The 16,930-nt window shown below is 44.8% G+C and overlaps 1 protein-coding gene across 3 annotated transcripts in view, besides 8 other annotated features; it reads left to right on the top strand.

Moving 5' to 3' along the window:
* The window catches only part of RAB11FIP1 (RAB11 family interacting protein 1), a 40,880-nt gene that overhangs the window by 6,608 nt on the left and 17,342 nt on the right, over positions 1-16,930 (top strand). For all 3 annotated transcript variants that reach the window (NM_025151.5, NM_001002814.3, XM_017013869.2), the window contains exon 2: positions 15,339-15,781. In NM_025151.5, coding sequence (NP_079427.4) covers positions 15,339-15,781 — 443 coding nt within the window. The remainder of the gene's footprint in view (positions 1-15,338; positions 15,782-16,930) is intronic.
* Positions 505-554: a silencer, noted in NCBI's record as "silent region_19111". NCBI's record gives its function as "represses an Ori minimal core promoter by ATAC-STARR-seq in GM12878 lymphoblastoid cells {active_cell/tissue: GM12878}" and the evidence as "EXISTENCE:reporter gene assay evidence [ECO:0000049][PMID:35858748]".
* Positions 1,359-2,297: an enhancer, noted in NCBI's record as "OCT4-NANOG-H3K27ac-H3K4me1 hESC enhancer chr8:37748111-37749049 (GRCh37/hg19 assembly coordinates)". NCBI's record gives its function as "activates a minimal SCP1, AML or CMV promoter by ChIP-STARR-seq in naive and primed H9 embryonic stem cells {active_cell/tissue: H9 hESC(naive and primed)}" and the evidence as "EXISTENCE:reporter gene assay evidence [ECO:0000049][PMID:30033119]".
* Positions 2,072-2,271: an enhancer, noted in NCBI's record as "active region_27238". NCBI's record gives its function as "activates an Ori minimal core promoter by ATAC-STARR-seq in GM12878 lymphoblastoid cells {active_cell/tissue: GM12878}" and the evidence as "EXISTENCE:reporter gene assay evidence [ECO:0000049][PMID:35858748]".
* Positions 2,298-3,236: an enhancer, noted in NCBI's record as "OCT4-NANOG-H3K27ac-H3K4me1 hESC enhancer chr8:37747172-37748110 (GRCh37/hg19 assembly coordinates)". NCBI's record gives its function as "activates a minimal SCP1, AML or CMV promoter by ChIP-STARR-seq in naive and primed H9 embryonic stem cells {active_cell/tissue: H9 hESC(naive and primed)}" and the evidence as "EXISTENCE:reporter gene assay evidence [ECO:0000049][PMID:30033119]".
* Positions 9,428-9,547: an enhancer, noted in NCBI's record as "active region_27237". NCBI's record gives its function as "activates an Ori minimal core promoter by ATAC-STARR-seq in GM12878 lymphoblastoid cells {active_cell/tissue: GM12878}" and the evidence as "EXISTENCE:reporter gene assay evidence [ECO:0000049][PMID:35858748]".
* Positions 10,956-11,065: an enhancer, noted in NCBI's record as "active region_27236". NCBI's record gives its function as "activates an Ori minimal core promoter by ATAC-STARR-seq in GM12878 lymphoblastoid cells {active_cell/tissue: GM12878}" and the evidence as "EXISTENCE:reporter gene assay evidence [ECO:0000049][PMID:35858748]".
* Positions 11,463-12,176: an enhancer, noted in NCBI's record as "H3K27ac hESC enhancer chr8:37738232-37738945 (GRCh37/hg19 assembly coordinates)". NCBI's record gives its function as "activates a minimal SCP1, AML or CMV promoter by ChIP-STARR-seq in primed H9 embryonic stem cells {active_cell/tissue: H9 hESC(primed)}" and the evidence as "EXISTENCE:reporter gene assay evidence [ECO:0000049][PMID:30033119]".
* Positions 12,177-12,891: an enhancer, noted in NCBI's record as "H3K27ac hESC enhancer chr8:37737517-37738231 (GRCh37/hg19 assembly coordinates)". NCBI's record gives its function as "activates a minimal SCP1, AML or CMV promoter by ChIP-STARR-seq in primed H9 embryonic stem cells {active_cell/tissue: H9 hESC(primed)}" and the evidence as "EXISTENCE:reporter gene assay evidence [ECO:0000049][PMID:30033119]".

Raw genomic sequence — 16,930 nt, 5'->3', positions numbered from 1 at the left:
CTGGTGGAGGAGTAGCAGCCTGTGCAAAGGCCCTGAGGCAGGAATACCTGGGAAGTGGGGGCGTGCTTGTGTAAGATGAGGCTGAAGAGGAAGGCGAGGCTTTACTTAGGAGGAATGGTAAGCCACTGAGTGTTAAAATTAAAAGCAGTGGGGGCTGGGCACAGTGGCTTACACCTATAATCCCAGTACTTTGGGAGGCCAAGGTGGGTGGATCACCTGAGGTCAGGAGTTTGAGACCAGCCTGGCCCAACATGGGCTCTACTAAAAGTACAAAAATTAGCTGGCCATGGTGGCGGGTGCCTGTAATCCCAGGAGGCTGAGGCAGGAGAATTGCTTGAACCTGGGAAGCAGAGGTTGCGGTGAGCTGAGACTGCGCCATTGCACTCCAGCCTGGGCAACAAGAGCAAAACTCCGTCTCAAAATAAATAAATAAATAAATAAATAAATAAATAAATAAATAAATATAAATAAAAGTAGTGGGTTGATACGGTCCAATTTATTTGTCAGAGATCACCGTGGCTCTTGGGTAGAGAATGGATTTGAAGCTGGCCTAACCTAGAATTGGACAGACAAAATGGGAGGCTGTTGCAGTAATCTAGATGGTGGATGGTGGTGGCTTGGACTAGAATGATGTCCAAGCCACCTGTGGAGGTGGACAGAGGTGGTGGATTTAAGAAATATCTTGGAGGTTCAACTGACCTGACATATGATGGATTGGATATGGTAGGGTGAGAGGGAAAGAAAGTAATAAGAATGAACACATAAAATCAGGAGAGCTTGGTGTTGAAAGTGAACCAGGAAGTGGCAGCTGCTTTCTTTCCCTTACAGTCACTGTGATACCAGGGTGAGGTCACCATTACAAAGACAGCTTTGGGCTGTGACACCTGTGAGTGGAGATTTCTGTTGGAGATTTCTGTTGAAGTGAATTACTAGGAAATGCCATTGAAACCAGGGCGTGTATGTATGTGTCTGCAAGTGATTACCCACTCAGTACCGCCAAGTCTTTGTCTTGTAACAGCAGAGCTGCTGTGATCTCATTGATGTGCTGTCACACAGCAGATGAAGTCACTGCTTTAAGGGATATAGGACTAAGAAAAGGAGAACATAATATATAACATTAGTAAAGTTAGACCCATAAATGAAAAAAAAATTCTCAAGTAAGTGAACCAGTTAAATGTTTTTTGCATTACGAACTGTAAGCATAGAAAAGAGTCTTGTGCCTTTCTCATTTTACTTAAACTGCCTTTGGTTACAAAGACTTCTATTGTATTTCTGTAACTCCCATCAGAGGAAGGTTTTTATAAATAGTATCTGATATGTCATTTTAATTGTAGTTATTAACTAAAAAATGTTATAATTACATTACAAGCAATCCACATGCTTATTAAAATGCCATCAACTCTAACATGTATTTGCTGACATTACTCTTCCTATCCCTTAACAATAATCTTAGACATCCATTAAGATACTATGGTTTTCATTGCTATACGCCCTGGAAAATTGTGCTTCTTACCCTATACTTTTGAAGGAGGGACAGCTAGCTCTGGCTTAGCTCCAGAAGGATTAAGAAGGTCTAGCCTTGAATAGAGAGAGTGATGGGAGGTCATTTTAGGCCTTATCTTCATCTCAGAGCACTTCCCTAGGTGGCCTTTGGTTCTGGGTCTGGCACAGATCTCTAGACCTAAGGGTCTCTGAATTACAACAAAATTAACCCCCAGACCCTTGTATTGGCAACGAGAGAGGTTTTGCTCTCCATAAGATGTCCTGGTTCAGATCTCATGCCCCAGCTGGCTCAGGAGGAGACCAAGCCTGACTTTGCCCTGTTTTCCTCTGGGACAGGGACCATGTCTGTTGTGTCCTTTGCTGTGTTACCCAGCGTAGGGGCTCAATAAATGCATCTGTGAGGGAGGCAGTGGTTGTGGTTCCTGTAGGCACAGGGCAGGCAGTAGATTGCCTGGGTGAACGTGGAGAAGCATTTAATCTTATGTTTAGCCTGGTAGATTACAGACTGGGGATGTCCGAAGTATGAAATCAAAGCTCTGCTTCTTTTGGTTTCCCAGTTTGGGGTATGGCTTTGTGGTCAGTGCCCTTTTCTTCTTCTTTTTTTTTTTTTTTTGGCAGAATTTTGCTCTTGTTGCCCAGGCTGGAGTGCAATGCCTCAATCTCAGCTCACTGCAACCTCCGCCTCCCAGGTTCAAGCAATGATTCTCCTTCCTCAGCCTCCTGAGTACCCTTTTCTTCTTGAAGAAGCAGGTTACTTTCTGCGGCTTGCTGGCTAATGATGCCTGTGGCAAAGGAGGCAGTTTTCACCACTAATGAGACAGAAATTCCTCTCCTGCAGGGAGACGATTGTTGATAATCTGTTAGAGGAAAATCAAGGGCTTTAGTCTCCAGGGTGTTCCTGGGGGACACATTTAGGAATGTGCCTGTGGAGAGAAAAAAGGCAATGGTAATTAAGTATCTTTTCCTGAATGCTGGCCTTTGAATGGAGTAGAGGGAAGGCATTTATAAGAAATCCCCAAAAAATATTTCTAGAGGTGTGACTGCCACTTCACTTTTTAAAAAAGGACATGGCTAGCGTCTAGGTAGAACAATTAAGGCCTCTAGAAAGCCTGGTCTAAAGAGGCCTCTGGTTATTATAAAAGAATGGGCATCCTGTGTGAAATACAGTAGCAGTCGACTGGGGCCCCAGATGTTTCTTCAGTCTGCTCCTTTCCCATGCAGAGAACTGTGACATGTGGTTCACCAAAATAGAACTTTTCATTTTTACTAATCATTTGTTATTAAAACAGGATTTAGAAATGCTTTGGTGAGGCCAGGCTCATGCCTGTAATCCCAGCACTTTGGGAGGCCGAGGTGGGTGGATCACTTGAGGTCAGGAGTTCGAGACCAGCCTGGCCAACATGGTGAAACCTTGTTTCTACTAAAAACACAAAAAATTAGCCAGGTATGGTGGCGGGCACCTGTTATCCCAGCTACTCAGGTGGCTGAGGCAGAAGAATCACTTGAACCTGGGAGGCAGAGCTTGCGGTGAGCCAAGATCCCGCCACTGCACTCCAGCCCGGGTGACTCTGTCTCAAAGAAAAAAAAAAAGAAATGCTTTTGGTGTAATTATTTTCCCTTCCTTTGGACTTACCTTGCTTATGGAATAAATCATAGATACTCTGCTTCCTTGCCAGAAACTCTCATGGCAAGAAGTATGGGAGTTTATGTGGTGAGGAAGGGCTGAGTGTTCTCTGATGTCAGTCATGCTGAAGTTTGTTTTCTTTTGTCCTGGTTAAGGGGTGGTGAACCAAACTATTGCATTTTATTTTTCCATTCTTAAAGTCTCTGTATGTGAGGACCCCATGGTTGCCCCAAGACAATATTCTTTGACAGAACAAATAAATGCATCAGTGGCATTTACATTTGAGCAAGAGGTGAGATACTGGATTTGATGGTAGAATATTAACATATGTGGCTTTTTGAGATAGGATCGAGCTTTGTAAAGAATTGGTAAGTCATGATGATGGGTGTGGTAGACTTAAATGTTTAAAAATGAGTTAATTTTTCTAATTCTTAGAGAATTGTTAAAATAAAGATGCTTGGTATTTCCTTTAGTCTTCACCTACAAGAAATTTAGTATTGCTCTCCACTTAGAAAACCTATCTTGATTCATAGACTTAATTATGCCATCTTGGCCTATTTCTGAGAGTTCGAGGGCCCTCTGTTTCTTGTCTCTTTCTTTTCTGTGTAGAAACCCTGAAGGGGTCCATAAGGATCATGACATCTCTCAATAAGTTGCGGAAAGTAAAGCCGGGCGCGGTGGCTCATGCCTGTAATCCCAGCACTTTGCGAGGCCGAGGCGGGCAGATCACGAGGTCAGGAGATCGAGACCATCTTGGCTAACATGGTGAAACCCCATCTCTACTAAAAATACAAAAATTTAGCTGGGCGCGGTGGCGGGTGCTTGTAATCCCAGCTACTCAGGAGGCTGAGGCAGGAGAATGGCGTGAACCCAGGAGGTGGAGCTTGCAGTGAGCTGAGATAGCGCCACTGCAGTCCGGCCTGGGCAAAAAAGCGAGACTCCATCTCAAAAAAAAAAAAAAAAAAAAAAAAAGTTGCAGAACGTATACACTGAGGGGCTGGGTGCAGTGGTGGCTCATTCCTGTAATCCCAGTACTTTGGGAGGATCACTTGAATCCAGGAGTTTAAAACCAGCTTAAGCAACATGATGAGACCCTGTCTCTACAAAAAATAAAACATTAGCAGAGTGTGGTGGTGCACGCCTGTAATCCTAGCTACTTTGTAGGCTAAGGTGGGAGGATTGCTTGAGCCTGGGAAGTTGAGACTGCAGTGAGCCGTGATGGCATCACTGCAGTCCAGCTTGGGCAACAGAGCCCGTCTGAAAAAAATGAAAACAAATACATTTTTTTTTTTAAAGAAAGTACACACTGATCATGGTTTGTTAAAAATTTTATATATCTTTTAAGTTTGGAAATGTAGCTAGGTGTGGTGTCTCACGCCTGTAATCCCAGCACTTTGGGAGGCCAAAGGGGGCGGATCACCTGAGGTTAGGAGTTTGAGACCAACCTGGCCAGCATGGTGAAACTCCGTCTCTACTAAAGATACAAAAATTAGCCGGGTGTAGTGGTGGGCGCCTGTAATCCCAGCTACTCAGGAGGCTGAGGCAGGAGAATCACTTGAACCCAGGAGGCAGAGGCTGCAGTGAGCTGTGATTGCGCCACTGCACTCCAGCCTGGGCGACAGAATGAGACTCCGTCTCAAAAAATAGATAAACAGATACATAATTTTGGAAATTATATAATGCAAACCAATTTTGGAAGTGAGTCATTTCTGTTCCCTTCAAATGCAAATCATTGTTATTTATATTTGGTCGATAAGTTAGGGTGGTTAGTAATACAGTGTGTCAAAACTGTTAAAATCCTAAGTTCCCTTTAGAGAATCATCTGAATGGGTAGATAAACTATGGCATATACCCACTTCACGGAATATCATTTAGCCATTCAAAATTATAAGTTTGACGATTATAAGCCAGTAATGTATAATGCACTACAAAGAAAATTGCATATGTACAGCTAAGTAGGAGTTATAGCTAAGACTTATGGCCAGGTACTGTTCTAAGCACTTTGCATACATTAAGCCATTTAATCTTCCTAACATTCTTATGAGGTGGGTGTTCCTAACCCTGTTTCAGAAGAGGATCCTGTCCCACAGAGAGGTTAAATATCTTGCCTAAGGTTTCTCAGCTGCTAGTTGTTAAAATGTATGGGAAAAAGACTTAAAGAAGATTTATAAAAAGGCAATGGTCAGATTAGCATGGGACTGAGTCCATTTTTACTTTTTTTTTTTTTTTTTTGAGATGGCGTCTCACTCTGCCACCCAGGCTGGAGTGCCGTGGCGCGATCTTGGCTCACTGCAACCTCCACTTTCCAGGTTCAAGCAATTCTTGTGCCTCATCCTCCCGAGTAGCTGGGATTACAGGTGTGTACCACCACACCCGGCTCATTTTTGTATTTTTAGTAGAGGCAGGGTTTCACCATGTTGGCCAGGCTGGTCTCGAACTCCTGACCTCAAGTGATCTGCCCGCCTCGGCCTCCCAATGTGCTGGGATTACAGGCGTGAGCCTCCATGTCTGGCTGTCATTTACCAGTTCTTAGAATTCAGTTTGGTGGCTACAAACAGCCTTTCCATGCTGCTGGAGTGGCTGTTTTGGGAATTAAGGTCAAAAAAACAAGCCATGACCTATTTGCCACTCTCATGATTTACGAATTTTTCCAAGTAGCTGACAATGGGCAGAGGGCAAGGTCTAGGGAGGCAATGTCGGCTGATGGGTAATTCTGTGTTCAGAGTTAGGTTATGATGACTAGCTACCTTCTTCAATACCAGCGCTCGTTAAACTGCATAGCTTCTGGAAGGTACACAGCACAGATGTTTTATAGGTCATAAACATTTCTGTCTGTCTGCTGTGCATGGCTTCTAGGTGACCAGAAGAAGAGACTGGACGTTTTACCCATATGCAATCACTCCTTTTCAGATCCTTTTTAAAAGATGTTCTCAACTGCTAACTACATGATTTGCAGCCTGATTTTTTATTTCCTGGGGAAGACAGTTCATGGACTGCTTTTAAAATTTCTTCATCTAAGAAAGGTTAAGTGTGTCCTCTGTCCCACACTAGGTCAGGGGTGGTTCTGTTCTTCCTGCTTCTTTCCTCACTCGAGGCCATCATCCCCTGTGTCATGATGCCTGGTTAACGTGGAGATGACTCATGCTATAAGTCAGGATTGGGATTTTGTGTAGCCAAGGAAGTAGGCAGTCCTCACCGAACCCGGAGTCCAAACTGGATACAGAAATGATGATCCCTTGAAATTAACACTGACACATGTAAAGTGTGGAGGTAACCCAGAGAGCTGGTGGTCCTCCTTGCCTGGCCTTTCCTGGAGACCTGTGTTTAATACGGGGATGCAGTATTTATTCACTTCCTGAACAGTCCCTAGATAGGTGGTTCTGATAGCCTGTTGGGGCTTAAATGACCTGAAACCTTATTTGTATGTGAGTCATTATTGTGATGAAATTGTGTACTTCAGCAAGAGTTTTACCTGTAATTAATTTCTCTCATGCCTGAAAGTTAGAAAGTTGGAAGCAGTTGCCCCAATGTAACAAATGCTTTGTGATCTTGGGTGAGCCTGTTCCCCATCCCATTGCAGGGAAAGCTTTTTAGTCCTCCTCATTCTCTGTATTTCCAGCGTCTGGCATGTAAAAACGTTGGAACTGAATCTCCGAAGGCATCATTTCTCTGCATATGTCTGCTCTCTGGAATGTTCTAAAGGGAAAAAACATGTTTGTTTCAGCTGCAGAAAGATTATTTTTGAGACATACCAGTCAGTCCTTTACCAGCGTAATCGTGAATATCTGCAGGGCTGCACGGGAAGGCTTTTCATTTCCCCATAGCAAGAGCCATGCTGCCCTGACCCTGCCACATTCCGACAGAAGGACCCCTGGGATCAGCTCTGGGTATGTTTGGGAAGCCAACTCCATGTTCTGAGGCACACCGGCCCTGAGGATAGGGCATGGTTGAATGGTCTTAGCTGTTCCAGAAGGACTGAAAAGCCCAAGAGATTTCACAGTATGGATGCAGGCACGGGCTTCCCAGTGGGCTACTCAGGGGTGCCCTGCACACCACTCTTGTGTGTGGGCACAGGCTCATGTTTTTTTCTGCATTGTATTTAGCTCATTCTTTTTCTGTGTTCCCTTATTTCTCTTCATAAAACATCTTTTTGAAAGTGTAGAAAACTTAAATGACTTTTTGTATACTTTTATCTGTGCCTTGTCTTGTGTTTGACCAAAAAAAAATAAGATCCCCAAAAACAAAAACTGCAGGGTAGCCTATTTGGATAATACACAGTTTTGCTTGTCTGTGGCAGGACCACCATTTGGGAGGGTGTATAAAACTGATAATAGTGGTTGTCTCTGGTATGGAGACTGAGGGGCATGGGATCAGGAGGGGTGGGAAGATGGAATTTTTCATCCTATACCATTTTGTATGATTTGAATTTTTACCCAATGCCTGTTATTACTTAAAAATATAGGCTGGGGGCCGGGCCTTCTGGCTCACACCTGTAATCCCAGCACTTTGGGAGGCCAAGGTGGACGGATCATCTGAAGTCAGGAGTTCGAGACCGGCCTGGCCATCACGGTGAAACCCCGTCTCTACTAAAAATACAAAACTTAGCTGGGTGTGGTAGCGCATGCCTGTTATCCTGGCTACTCAGGAGGCCGAGACAGGAGAATTGCTTGAATCTGGGAGGCAGAGGTTGCAGTGAGCCGAGATCACGCCACTGCACTCCAGCCTGTGCAACACGGTGAGACTCCATCTCAAAAAAAAAAAAAACAATTAAAAAATATAGGCCGAGTGCAATGGCTCACACCTGTAATCCCAGGCACTATGAGAGACTGAGGTGAGAGGATTCTGTGTGGCCAGGAATTTAAGACCAGCCTGGGCAGCATAGCAAGACCCTATCTCTAAAACAAAACAAAAGACTAGCTGGCATAGTGGTTCACACCTGTAATCCTGGCACTTTGGGAGGCTAAGGCAGGCAGATCACTTGAGGTCAGGAGTTCGAGACCAGCCTGGCCAACATGGTGAAACCCTGTCTCTACTAAAAATACAAAAATTAGCTGGGCATGATGGTATTTGCCTGTAATACCAACTACTCTGGAGGCTGAGGCATGAGAATTGCTTGAACCCGGGAGGTGGAGGTTGCAGTAAGCCGAGATCATGCCACTGTACTCCAGCCTGGGCAACAGAGCAAGACTGTCTCAACAACAACAACAACTAGTTGGGTGTGGTGGCACATGCTTTTAGTCCCAGCTCCTCAAGAGGCTGAGGTGGGAGGATGGCTTGAGCCTAGAACTTTGAAGCTGCTGTGAGCTATGAATGTGCACTGTACTCCAGCCTGGACAACAGAGCAAGACCCCATCTCAAAATATATATGTGTGTGTATATAGTTTATAGAAATTTTATGTTGGCCGGGTGTGGTAGCTCACGCCTGTATTCCCAGCACTTTGGGAGGCCGAAGCAGGTGGATCATGAGGTCAGGAGTTCGATACCAGCCTGGCCAAGATGGTGAAACCCTGTCTCTAGTAAAAATACAAAAATTAGCCGGATGCAGTGGTGTGCGCCTGTACTCCCAGCTACTCGGGAGGCTGAGGGAGGAGAATCACTTGAACCTGGGCGACGGTGGTTGCAGTGAGCTGAGATCATGCCACTGTACTCCAGCCTGGGCAATAGACAATAGAATGAGACTCTGTCTCAAAAATAAATAAATAAATAAATAAATAAATAAAATTATGTCACTTTCTACATATCCAGAGATCCTTTTAATTCTTGCAGGACTGAGTTTAATGATAAGCAATAATAATTTGTTTATTGAAGGGATCATTTGATTTTTACTTTTGATAGGTGGCAAGATTTTTTCAGAATATGGGCTTAAAAATAAACTTGCTACATTGGGATTATGGCTCTCTTTTTCTGCCCTTTGGACTAGGGAAATGGACCCAACCCTGATTTCTGAGATAATTCAAGCTTTCAGGGCCTACGTGAAAGATAATACTGGAACACACCCACGCTGCCATCACATGCTGTGTTGCTAGGCTGGGACTTTATTATTTATGAGCTACTTCTGTGAGGTGCAGGAATTAAGTGAACTGAAAAACACATGGGCAGTAACACTTAGAAACTGGGTTGATCTTAAATATAAAAATCCCCAGATGTGTTCTTCTGGTTTGGGATTTCTTAGGGCAAGATATTCAAGCACTGTGGCTTTCACTGTCTTATCAAAGTATGCTTCTATCAAACATCCCTTGCTTAAACTGTTTTTGAATTTGAGGATAATATTGCTAGTAAAAGAAACAATTCTTGGCTGGGCACAGTGGCTCACGCCTGTAATCCCAACACTTGGGGAGGCTGAGGCAGGCGGATCACCTGAGGTCAAGAGTTTGAGACCAGCCTGGCCAACATAAAATTAGTTGGGCATAGTTGCGCACGCCTGTAATCCCAGCTACTCAGCAAGCTGAGGCAGGAGAATCGGTTGAACCCAGGAGGAGGAGGTTGCAGTGAGCTGAGATCACGTCACTGCACTCCAGCCTGGGCGATAGAGTGAGACTCAGTCTCTAAAACAAACAGACAAACAAACAAACACCAAGAAAAAAAAACCAGAAAAAAAAAAAAACGAAACAATTCTTGTTTTGCTTTCCAGCTTTAATACATGGAGCACAGATTTGTAAATTCTGCCTCTTTGCCTGGGCTGTTTCCCTGCTGGCCTGTGATTCAGCCTGTTTCATATCCTTCAATAGCCCCGTGGCTGGTGCCTGGCTACCTGGTGTTTGGCTTTAGGTTTGCTTGTGAAATTAAGCAGCAAGAACAGTTGGTGACGTTTATATTTGCACTTCCTAATGGTGTTGGAAGTTTCCAAAGCAAATCCCACTTTAGGACCCAGGGATTGGACCTGAGAATCAGGTAATAATTGGTCCCGAGGGAGGATTCTGGAATCGGTTGTAGTTTTGCTCAAAAACCATTAGGAAGTGCAAAGAAAACCTCACTGATACTTTCGGAAAGGCAAGGCTGGCCCTTGGAATTGTCAACTGGCTATGTTACAGGAAAGGGGTCCTGATCCAGACCCCAAAAGAGAGTGTTTGGTCTCCCGCAAGAAAGAATTCAGGGCAAGTCTGCAGTGCAAAGTAAAAGCAAGTTTATTAAGAAAGCAAAGTATTGAAGGTACAGCTACTCCATAGACAGAGTAGGACGTTCCCGAAAGTAAGAGGAGGAACACCTCCACTCTAGGCACTATGCTTATTCATACACAGGATAAAAAGATCATTGAGAGATGTGCCCTACTACAAGGGTTTGTGATAAAGGATTAATTTTCTTAATTACTATATTTTGTGAGAATCAATATTATTAGCTTCAAAGCAAAATTAGGATAGCCTTTGTTCTCCAGATTTGGGGATATTAGAACACTCCCAAGTCTGGGTCTGTTTGGTAAACATTATCCATCTGTTCCCTTACCCATAAACATCTAGAGGCTAGGAATACCTAACTTTCTGGGAATGCAGCGCAGCAAGTCCCAGCCTCATTTTCCTAGCCCTCACTCAAGATGGAGTTGCACTGGTTTGAATGCCTCTGACAGCTGCTTTGGAGGCCTGTCACATTTGTGCATCCCCGTGGAGGGCTAATAGAAGGGCCCGTGTGGAAGAGCTGTGGAGAAACCCCTGCCTGAAGCTCCTGCCCTGGGCGGGGAGGTGAAGCGTGCTGCCCGCCTGCGGTTGGTGAGGTCATCGAAACCTCCTCAGTTAGCGTTCAGCAACTTCTCCTTTTCAGGTGCCTGCAACTGGTATTTACAAAAGCTAAACACCCTTCATCACCAAGGCTACCATTTACCACATGACTGTCAGAAGAGAAAAATATAAATAATCCTCTCAAAATTGAAGTGACAAATATGCAGACAATTCCAGGCCAGGCCCTGGAAAATGTATTGGACAGACACTAGGCTGGCAAGGGTGACATTGTCTATAAAGACCTTGCATTTTCCACTTGAGCCCAGGAGTCCAGGGCTGCAGTGAGCTATGATCGCACCACTGCACTCCAGCCTGGGCAAGAGAGTGAGACCCTGTTGCAAAAAATAAAAAATAAAAAAAGACCTTGCGTCTTGCAACACCCACCACTCCCCGCCTGCCCAGCTCTGGATTGAGGTTATAAAAACCATAAAAGATTTGTCTCCTAAGGGTCCAAAATTATAGCTCATATAATTTTATCCTCTCCTTGCTGTATTTTGTGAATTCATTTTAAGTTCTTCTTGATGACTTTGTATACTGGCCTTTAAGTAATCTCAACGATTTATGACTGATGGCAAGCTATGTTAGTTTCCTTCCTTTCTTCTTTCATCTTTGGACATTTAAATGAGAAGCTTAAATGTTTCTCAAAAAGAATTTAAATTTGAACCCTCTTTTCTCTATGTTACAAAAGATGGCCCATCCAAGATAAATTAGGAGAGAATTTAAAGCAGGAGTCTTGGTGTAGGGGAAAGAATAGGAGAAAGAATAGGGGAAACTGATTTGGAATCCTAGCTGTACCCCATAGTGGTTGCAAGACCTTGTGCCAGTTCTCAGACCTCTGAGCTTCAATTTCTTCATCTATAAAATGGGTATAATATCTACTCCGTGTCGTTCTTGTGAGGCTGAAATGAAGATGTCTCTGTGCGTAGGCAGTGTCAGGTATGCCACAGGTGCTGTTTAGGTGTTAGGTTTCGACTTTCCCCTGTGCCTTTCCTCTAAGTGTAGAAGGAGCCGTAGCAGTGGGGGCAGGGATCTGCCCTGTGAGCGAGCCACCAGCCATGGCTGAAGGTGAAAGAGGAAGTTGTGCTCATTTGGGCAAAACCATCATTTCCTTTAAGTCCACTACCTTCCGCTCTTAAATAGGTCACCGAAAAGAACTTCAGAATGTGAGTTCTCAGTTTGTGAGGGTGACCTGGTGGACAGCTCACTATAGACCAGGTATTTGGAGTTATTTGTCCCATTGTATGGTCTTGCTACAAACTGGGCTCACATTTTTTTTTTTTTTTTTTGAAAGGGATAGGGTCTCACTCTGTTGCGCAGGCTGGAGTGCAGTGGTGCAATCATAGCTCTTACTACAGCCTTGAACTCCTGGGTTCAAGTGATCCTCCTGCCTCAACCTCCCAAGTAGTTGGGACTATTAAGTACGCACCACTGCACCCAGCTAATTAAAAAAAAATATTTTTAGCCACGCTTGGTGGCTTATGCCTGTAATCCCAGCACTTTGGGAGGCCAAGGTGGGTGGATCACTTGAGGTCAGGAGTTTGAGACCAGCCTGTCTAACCATACCCTGTCTCTACTAAAAATACAAAGAATAGCTGGGCATTGTGGCATATACCTGTAGTCCCAGCTACTCGGGAGGCTGAGGCAGGAGAATCACTTGAACCCGGGAGGCGGAGGTTGCAGTGAGCCGAGATCGCGCCATTGCACTCCAGCCTGGGGGACAGAGCGAGACTCTGTCTCAAAAAAACAAAAATTTTTTTTTTGGAGAATGGGATCTTGCCTTGTTGCCTATACTGGTCTCAAACTCCTGGATCCAACCAATCCTCCTCTCTCAGACTCCCAAAGCACTGGGATTACAGGTGTGAGCCACTGTACCCAACCTGGCTCACATTCTTACAGTTCACCAAAGGTATAGGGCTCCTAAATGGAAAATGAATGCCATGAGATCTCCTTTTTCTGAAGCTTGTCTCTCAGTGGAGTTGGACTGGTATAATGTCATTTTTCACATCTTGAAGTGGGTTGCAAATGACCAAGTGTAATTCTTGGATAGTGTTTGAAATGTGACTTTTTCTGATTATTAAGCTAGGGAAGAAGGCTTCCTTTCCAACTAACCATTTTTTTTATTGTGGTAAAATATATGTAACATTAAATTTACCATTTTAACCTGTTTTTTTGAGACAGAGTCTCACTCTGTCACCCAGGCTGGAGTGCAGTAGTGTGATCTTGGCTCACTACAACCTCCCTCTCCCGGGTTCAAGCGATTCTCCTGCCTCAGCCTCTAGAGTAGCTGAAATTACAGGCATGTGGCACAACACCCGGCTATTTTTTGTATTTTTAGTAGAGATGGGGTTTCACCATGTTGGTCAGGCTGGTCACAAACTCCTGACCTCAAGTGATCTGCCCGCCTTGGCCTCCCAAAGTGCTGGGATTACGGGCGTGAGCCACTGCGCCTGGCCCCATTTTAACCATTTTTAAGTGTGCAGTTCAATGTCATTAAGAATATTCACATTGTTGTGTGATCATCACCGCCATCCATCTCCGGAACTTTTTCATTTTCCACAACTGAAGCTCTATACCCATCAAACATTAACTCCTCATTCTCTCCTTCCCCTCCTCCGGCAATCACCATTCTACTTTCTGACTGGATGAATTTGACTAACCCAGGAACCTCACATAAGTGGACTCATATAGTGTTTGTCATTTTCTAACTGACTGATTTCACTTTTTTTTTTGTTTTTTTTGAGATGGAGTCTGGCTCTGTCGCCTAAGCTGGAGTGCTGGAGTGCAGTGGCATGATCTTGGCTCACTGCAACCTCCGCCTCCCGGGTTCAAGCAATTCTCCTGCTTCAACCTCCTGCATAGCTGGGATTACAGGTGCTCGCCATGATGCCCGGCTAATTTTTGTATTTTTAGTAGAGACGGGGTTTCGCCATGTTGGCCAGGCTGGTCTTGAGTTCCTGACCTCAGGTGATCTGCCTGCCTCGGCCTCCCAAAGTACTGGTATCACAGGCGTGAGCCACTGTGCCTAGCCTGATTTCACTCTTTTAAAAAATTCTTTATTTTTATTTATTTATTTTTAGAAACAGAGTCTCACTTTGTCACCCAGACTAGAGTGCAGTGGTGCAATTATAGCTCACTGCAGCCTCGAATTCCTAGGCTCATGTTGAGTAGCTGAGAGTATAGGCGCACACCACCATGCCGGCAAATTTTTTAATTTTTTATGGAGATGGAGTCTCGCAATATTGCCCAGGCTGGTCTTGAACTCCTGGCCTCAAGTGATCCTCCTGCCTCAGGCTCCCAAATCTCTGGGATTACAGGTGTGAGCCACCATGCCCAACCCCCTCCCCACTTTTTTTTTTTTTTTAATTCTGTGTTGTATTATTATTATTTTTTTACTCCCTGGCAGGGACCATTCCTTACTACAAACTTGATTTTCTCTGAGATTTAATTATACATCATTTGCACGCCACCCTTCTTAACTGTTTGTGTATGATCTTTGCTTTTTTTTTTTTTTTTTTTTTTTGAGATGGAGTCTCACTCTGTTGTCCAGGCTGGAGTGCAGTGGTGCGATCTCGGCTCACTGCAACGTCTGCCTCCTGGGTTCAAGTGATTCTCCTGCCACGGTCTCCTGAGTAGCTGGGACCACAGGCGCCTGCCACCACACCCGGCTAATTTTTTATATTTTTAGTAGAGATGGGGTTTCACCATATTGGCCAGGCTGGTCTCGAACTCCTGACCTTGTGATCCACCCACCTCAGCCTCCCAAAGTGCTGGGATTACAGGTGTGAGCCACCGCACCTGCCCTGATCTTTACATTTTTACCCTACTGAAGGAAAACATCACTCATCGGAAGTGATTCCATGGAATATTTTTTTTTCTTTATTTTTAGAATGAGCTCTTTATTGAATCAGGATTTGAGGTGATTATACGCTAAGCACAACACTGGATCCTATCTTTGTCTAGCGCGTGTCTTCTCAAAAATAAAAGTGCAAAATAAAAAACAAAACAAAAGAAATAAAAGTGCAAATTCTGCTCTCAGCCGGGTGCAGTGGCTCACGCCTGTAATCCCAACATTTTGGGAGGCTGAGGCGGGCGGATCATCTGAGGTCAGGAGTTCGAGTCCAGCCTGGCTACCATGGTGAAACCCCATCTCTACTAAAAATACAAAAATTAGCTGGACATGGTCACGCGCTCCTGTAATCTCAGCTACTCAGGAGGCTGAGGCAGGAGAATCACTTGAACCCAGGAGGCAGAGGCTGCAGTGAGCCGAGATGGTGGCATTGCACTCCAGCCTGGGTGACAGAGCAAGACTCTGTGTCAAAAAAAAAAAAAAAAAAAAAAAAAAAAATTCTGCTCTCATCTACCACTTCCCGAAGAGAAAGCATGAGAATGCATGCATTGAAGAGGCTGCTGGTAGCAGAGAGGAGAGGCCAGTTCATGGGGATTGTGAACATTGTTGCAGTTGCTTCCATTCAAAGGTAACTCCTCAGCCTTTCTCCTTTCAGGTGGTATAAGTTGAAATCCAAACCAGGAAAGAAGGACAAGGAGCGAGGAGAAATTGAGGTTGACATCCAGTTTATGAGAAACAACATGACTGCCAGCATGTTTGACCTTTCTATGAAAGACAAGTCTCGGAATCCATTTGGAAAGCTGAAGGACAAGATCAAGGGGAAGAATAAGGACAGTGGGTCAGACACCGCCTCCGCCATCATCCCTAGCACGACACCTTCGGTCGACAGTGATGATGAGTCTGTGGTTAAAGACAAGAAAAAGAAATCAAAGATCAAGACCTTACTTTCCAAGTCAAATTTGCAGAAGACGCCTCTTTCCCAGTCCATGTCTGTCCTGCCGACTTCAAAGCCAGAAAAAGTGCTGCTTCGTCCCGGAGACTTTCAGTCCCAGTGGGATGAAGATGACAATGAGGATGAGTCCTCCTCGGCCTCGGATGGTGAGTTTCTGCCTCTTCCTGCTTGACCTCTCTTCTTCCTCTTACCATGCTTCGTTCTGAGAGAGAAGAAACAGACAAATCTCAAGAGAAAGAGTTTAATTCAATTCCTCAATTACAAAATCATGGTGGTGGGGATGATGATAGCGGTGGTTAAGATGCCCTCTCTAAGGCTAGGCGTGGTGGCTCACGCCTGTAATCCCAGCACTTTGGGAGGCTGAGGCAGGCAGATTGCTTGAGCCCAGGAGTTTGAGACCAGCCTGGGCAACATGGTGAAACCCTGTCTCTACAAAAAATATAAAAATTAGCCAGATGTGATGACATACTCCTGTAGTCCCAGCTACTCAGGAGGCTAGGCTGGGAGGATTGCTTGAGCTCAGGAAGTAGAGGCTGCAGTAAGCTGTGATCGTGCCACTGCACTCCAGCCTGGGTGACAGAGTGAGACTCTGTCTCAAAAAAAAAAAAATGCCCTCTCTGTTTCTTTTTTTAAAATATTTTTTGTTTGTTTGTTTTAGAGACAGGGTCTTGCTCTATTGCCCACGCTGGAGTGCAGTGGCGCGATCATAGCTTACGGCAGCCTCCAACTCCTGGGCTCAAGGAATCCTCTCACCTTGGCCTTCTGAGGAGCTGGGACTACAGGTGTGCATCATCACACCTGATTAATTAAAAAAAATTTTTTTTTTAGAGATGAGGTCTCACTATGTTGCCCAGGCTGGTCTGAAACTCCTGGCTTCAAGTGATCCTCCTGCCTCAGCCTCTCAAAGGGCTCTTATGACCGGTGTGAACCATTGCCCATGGCTGAGATGCCCTCTCTATTTCTAAGCCCTCTGGTTTCTTTCCTTCTTTCTTCCTTCCTTCCTTCCTTCCTTCCTTCCTTCCTTCCTTCCTTCCTTCCTTTCTTTCTTTTCTTTTCTTTTGAGATGGAGTCTTGCTCTGTCACCCAGGCTGGAGTGCAATGGTGCGATCTTGGCTCTTTGCAACTTCCGCCTCCTGGGTTTAAGCAATTCTCCTTCCTCAGTCTCCCGAATAGCTGGGATTCCAGGTCCGTGCCACCACACCCGGTGAATTTTTGTATTTTTAGTAGAGTTGGGGTTTCACCATGTTGACCAGGCTGGTTTTGAACTCCTGACCTCAAGTGATCCACCTGCCTTG

The sequence above is a fragment of the Homo sapiens genome, chromosome 8 (genome assembly GCF_000001405.40).
Source record: "Homo sapiens chromosome 8, GRCh38.p14 Primary Assembly".
In the NCBI taxonomy this organism is placed as follows: domain Eukaryota; kingdom Metazoa; phylum Chordata; class Mammalia; order Primates; family Hominidae; genus Homo; species Homo sapiens.
The sequence above is the reverse complement of the archived record's forward strand: the minus strand, read 5'-3'. Positions and strand labels throughout refer to the sequence as shown.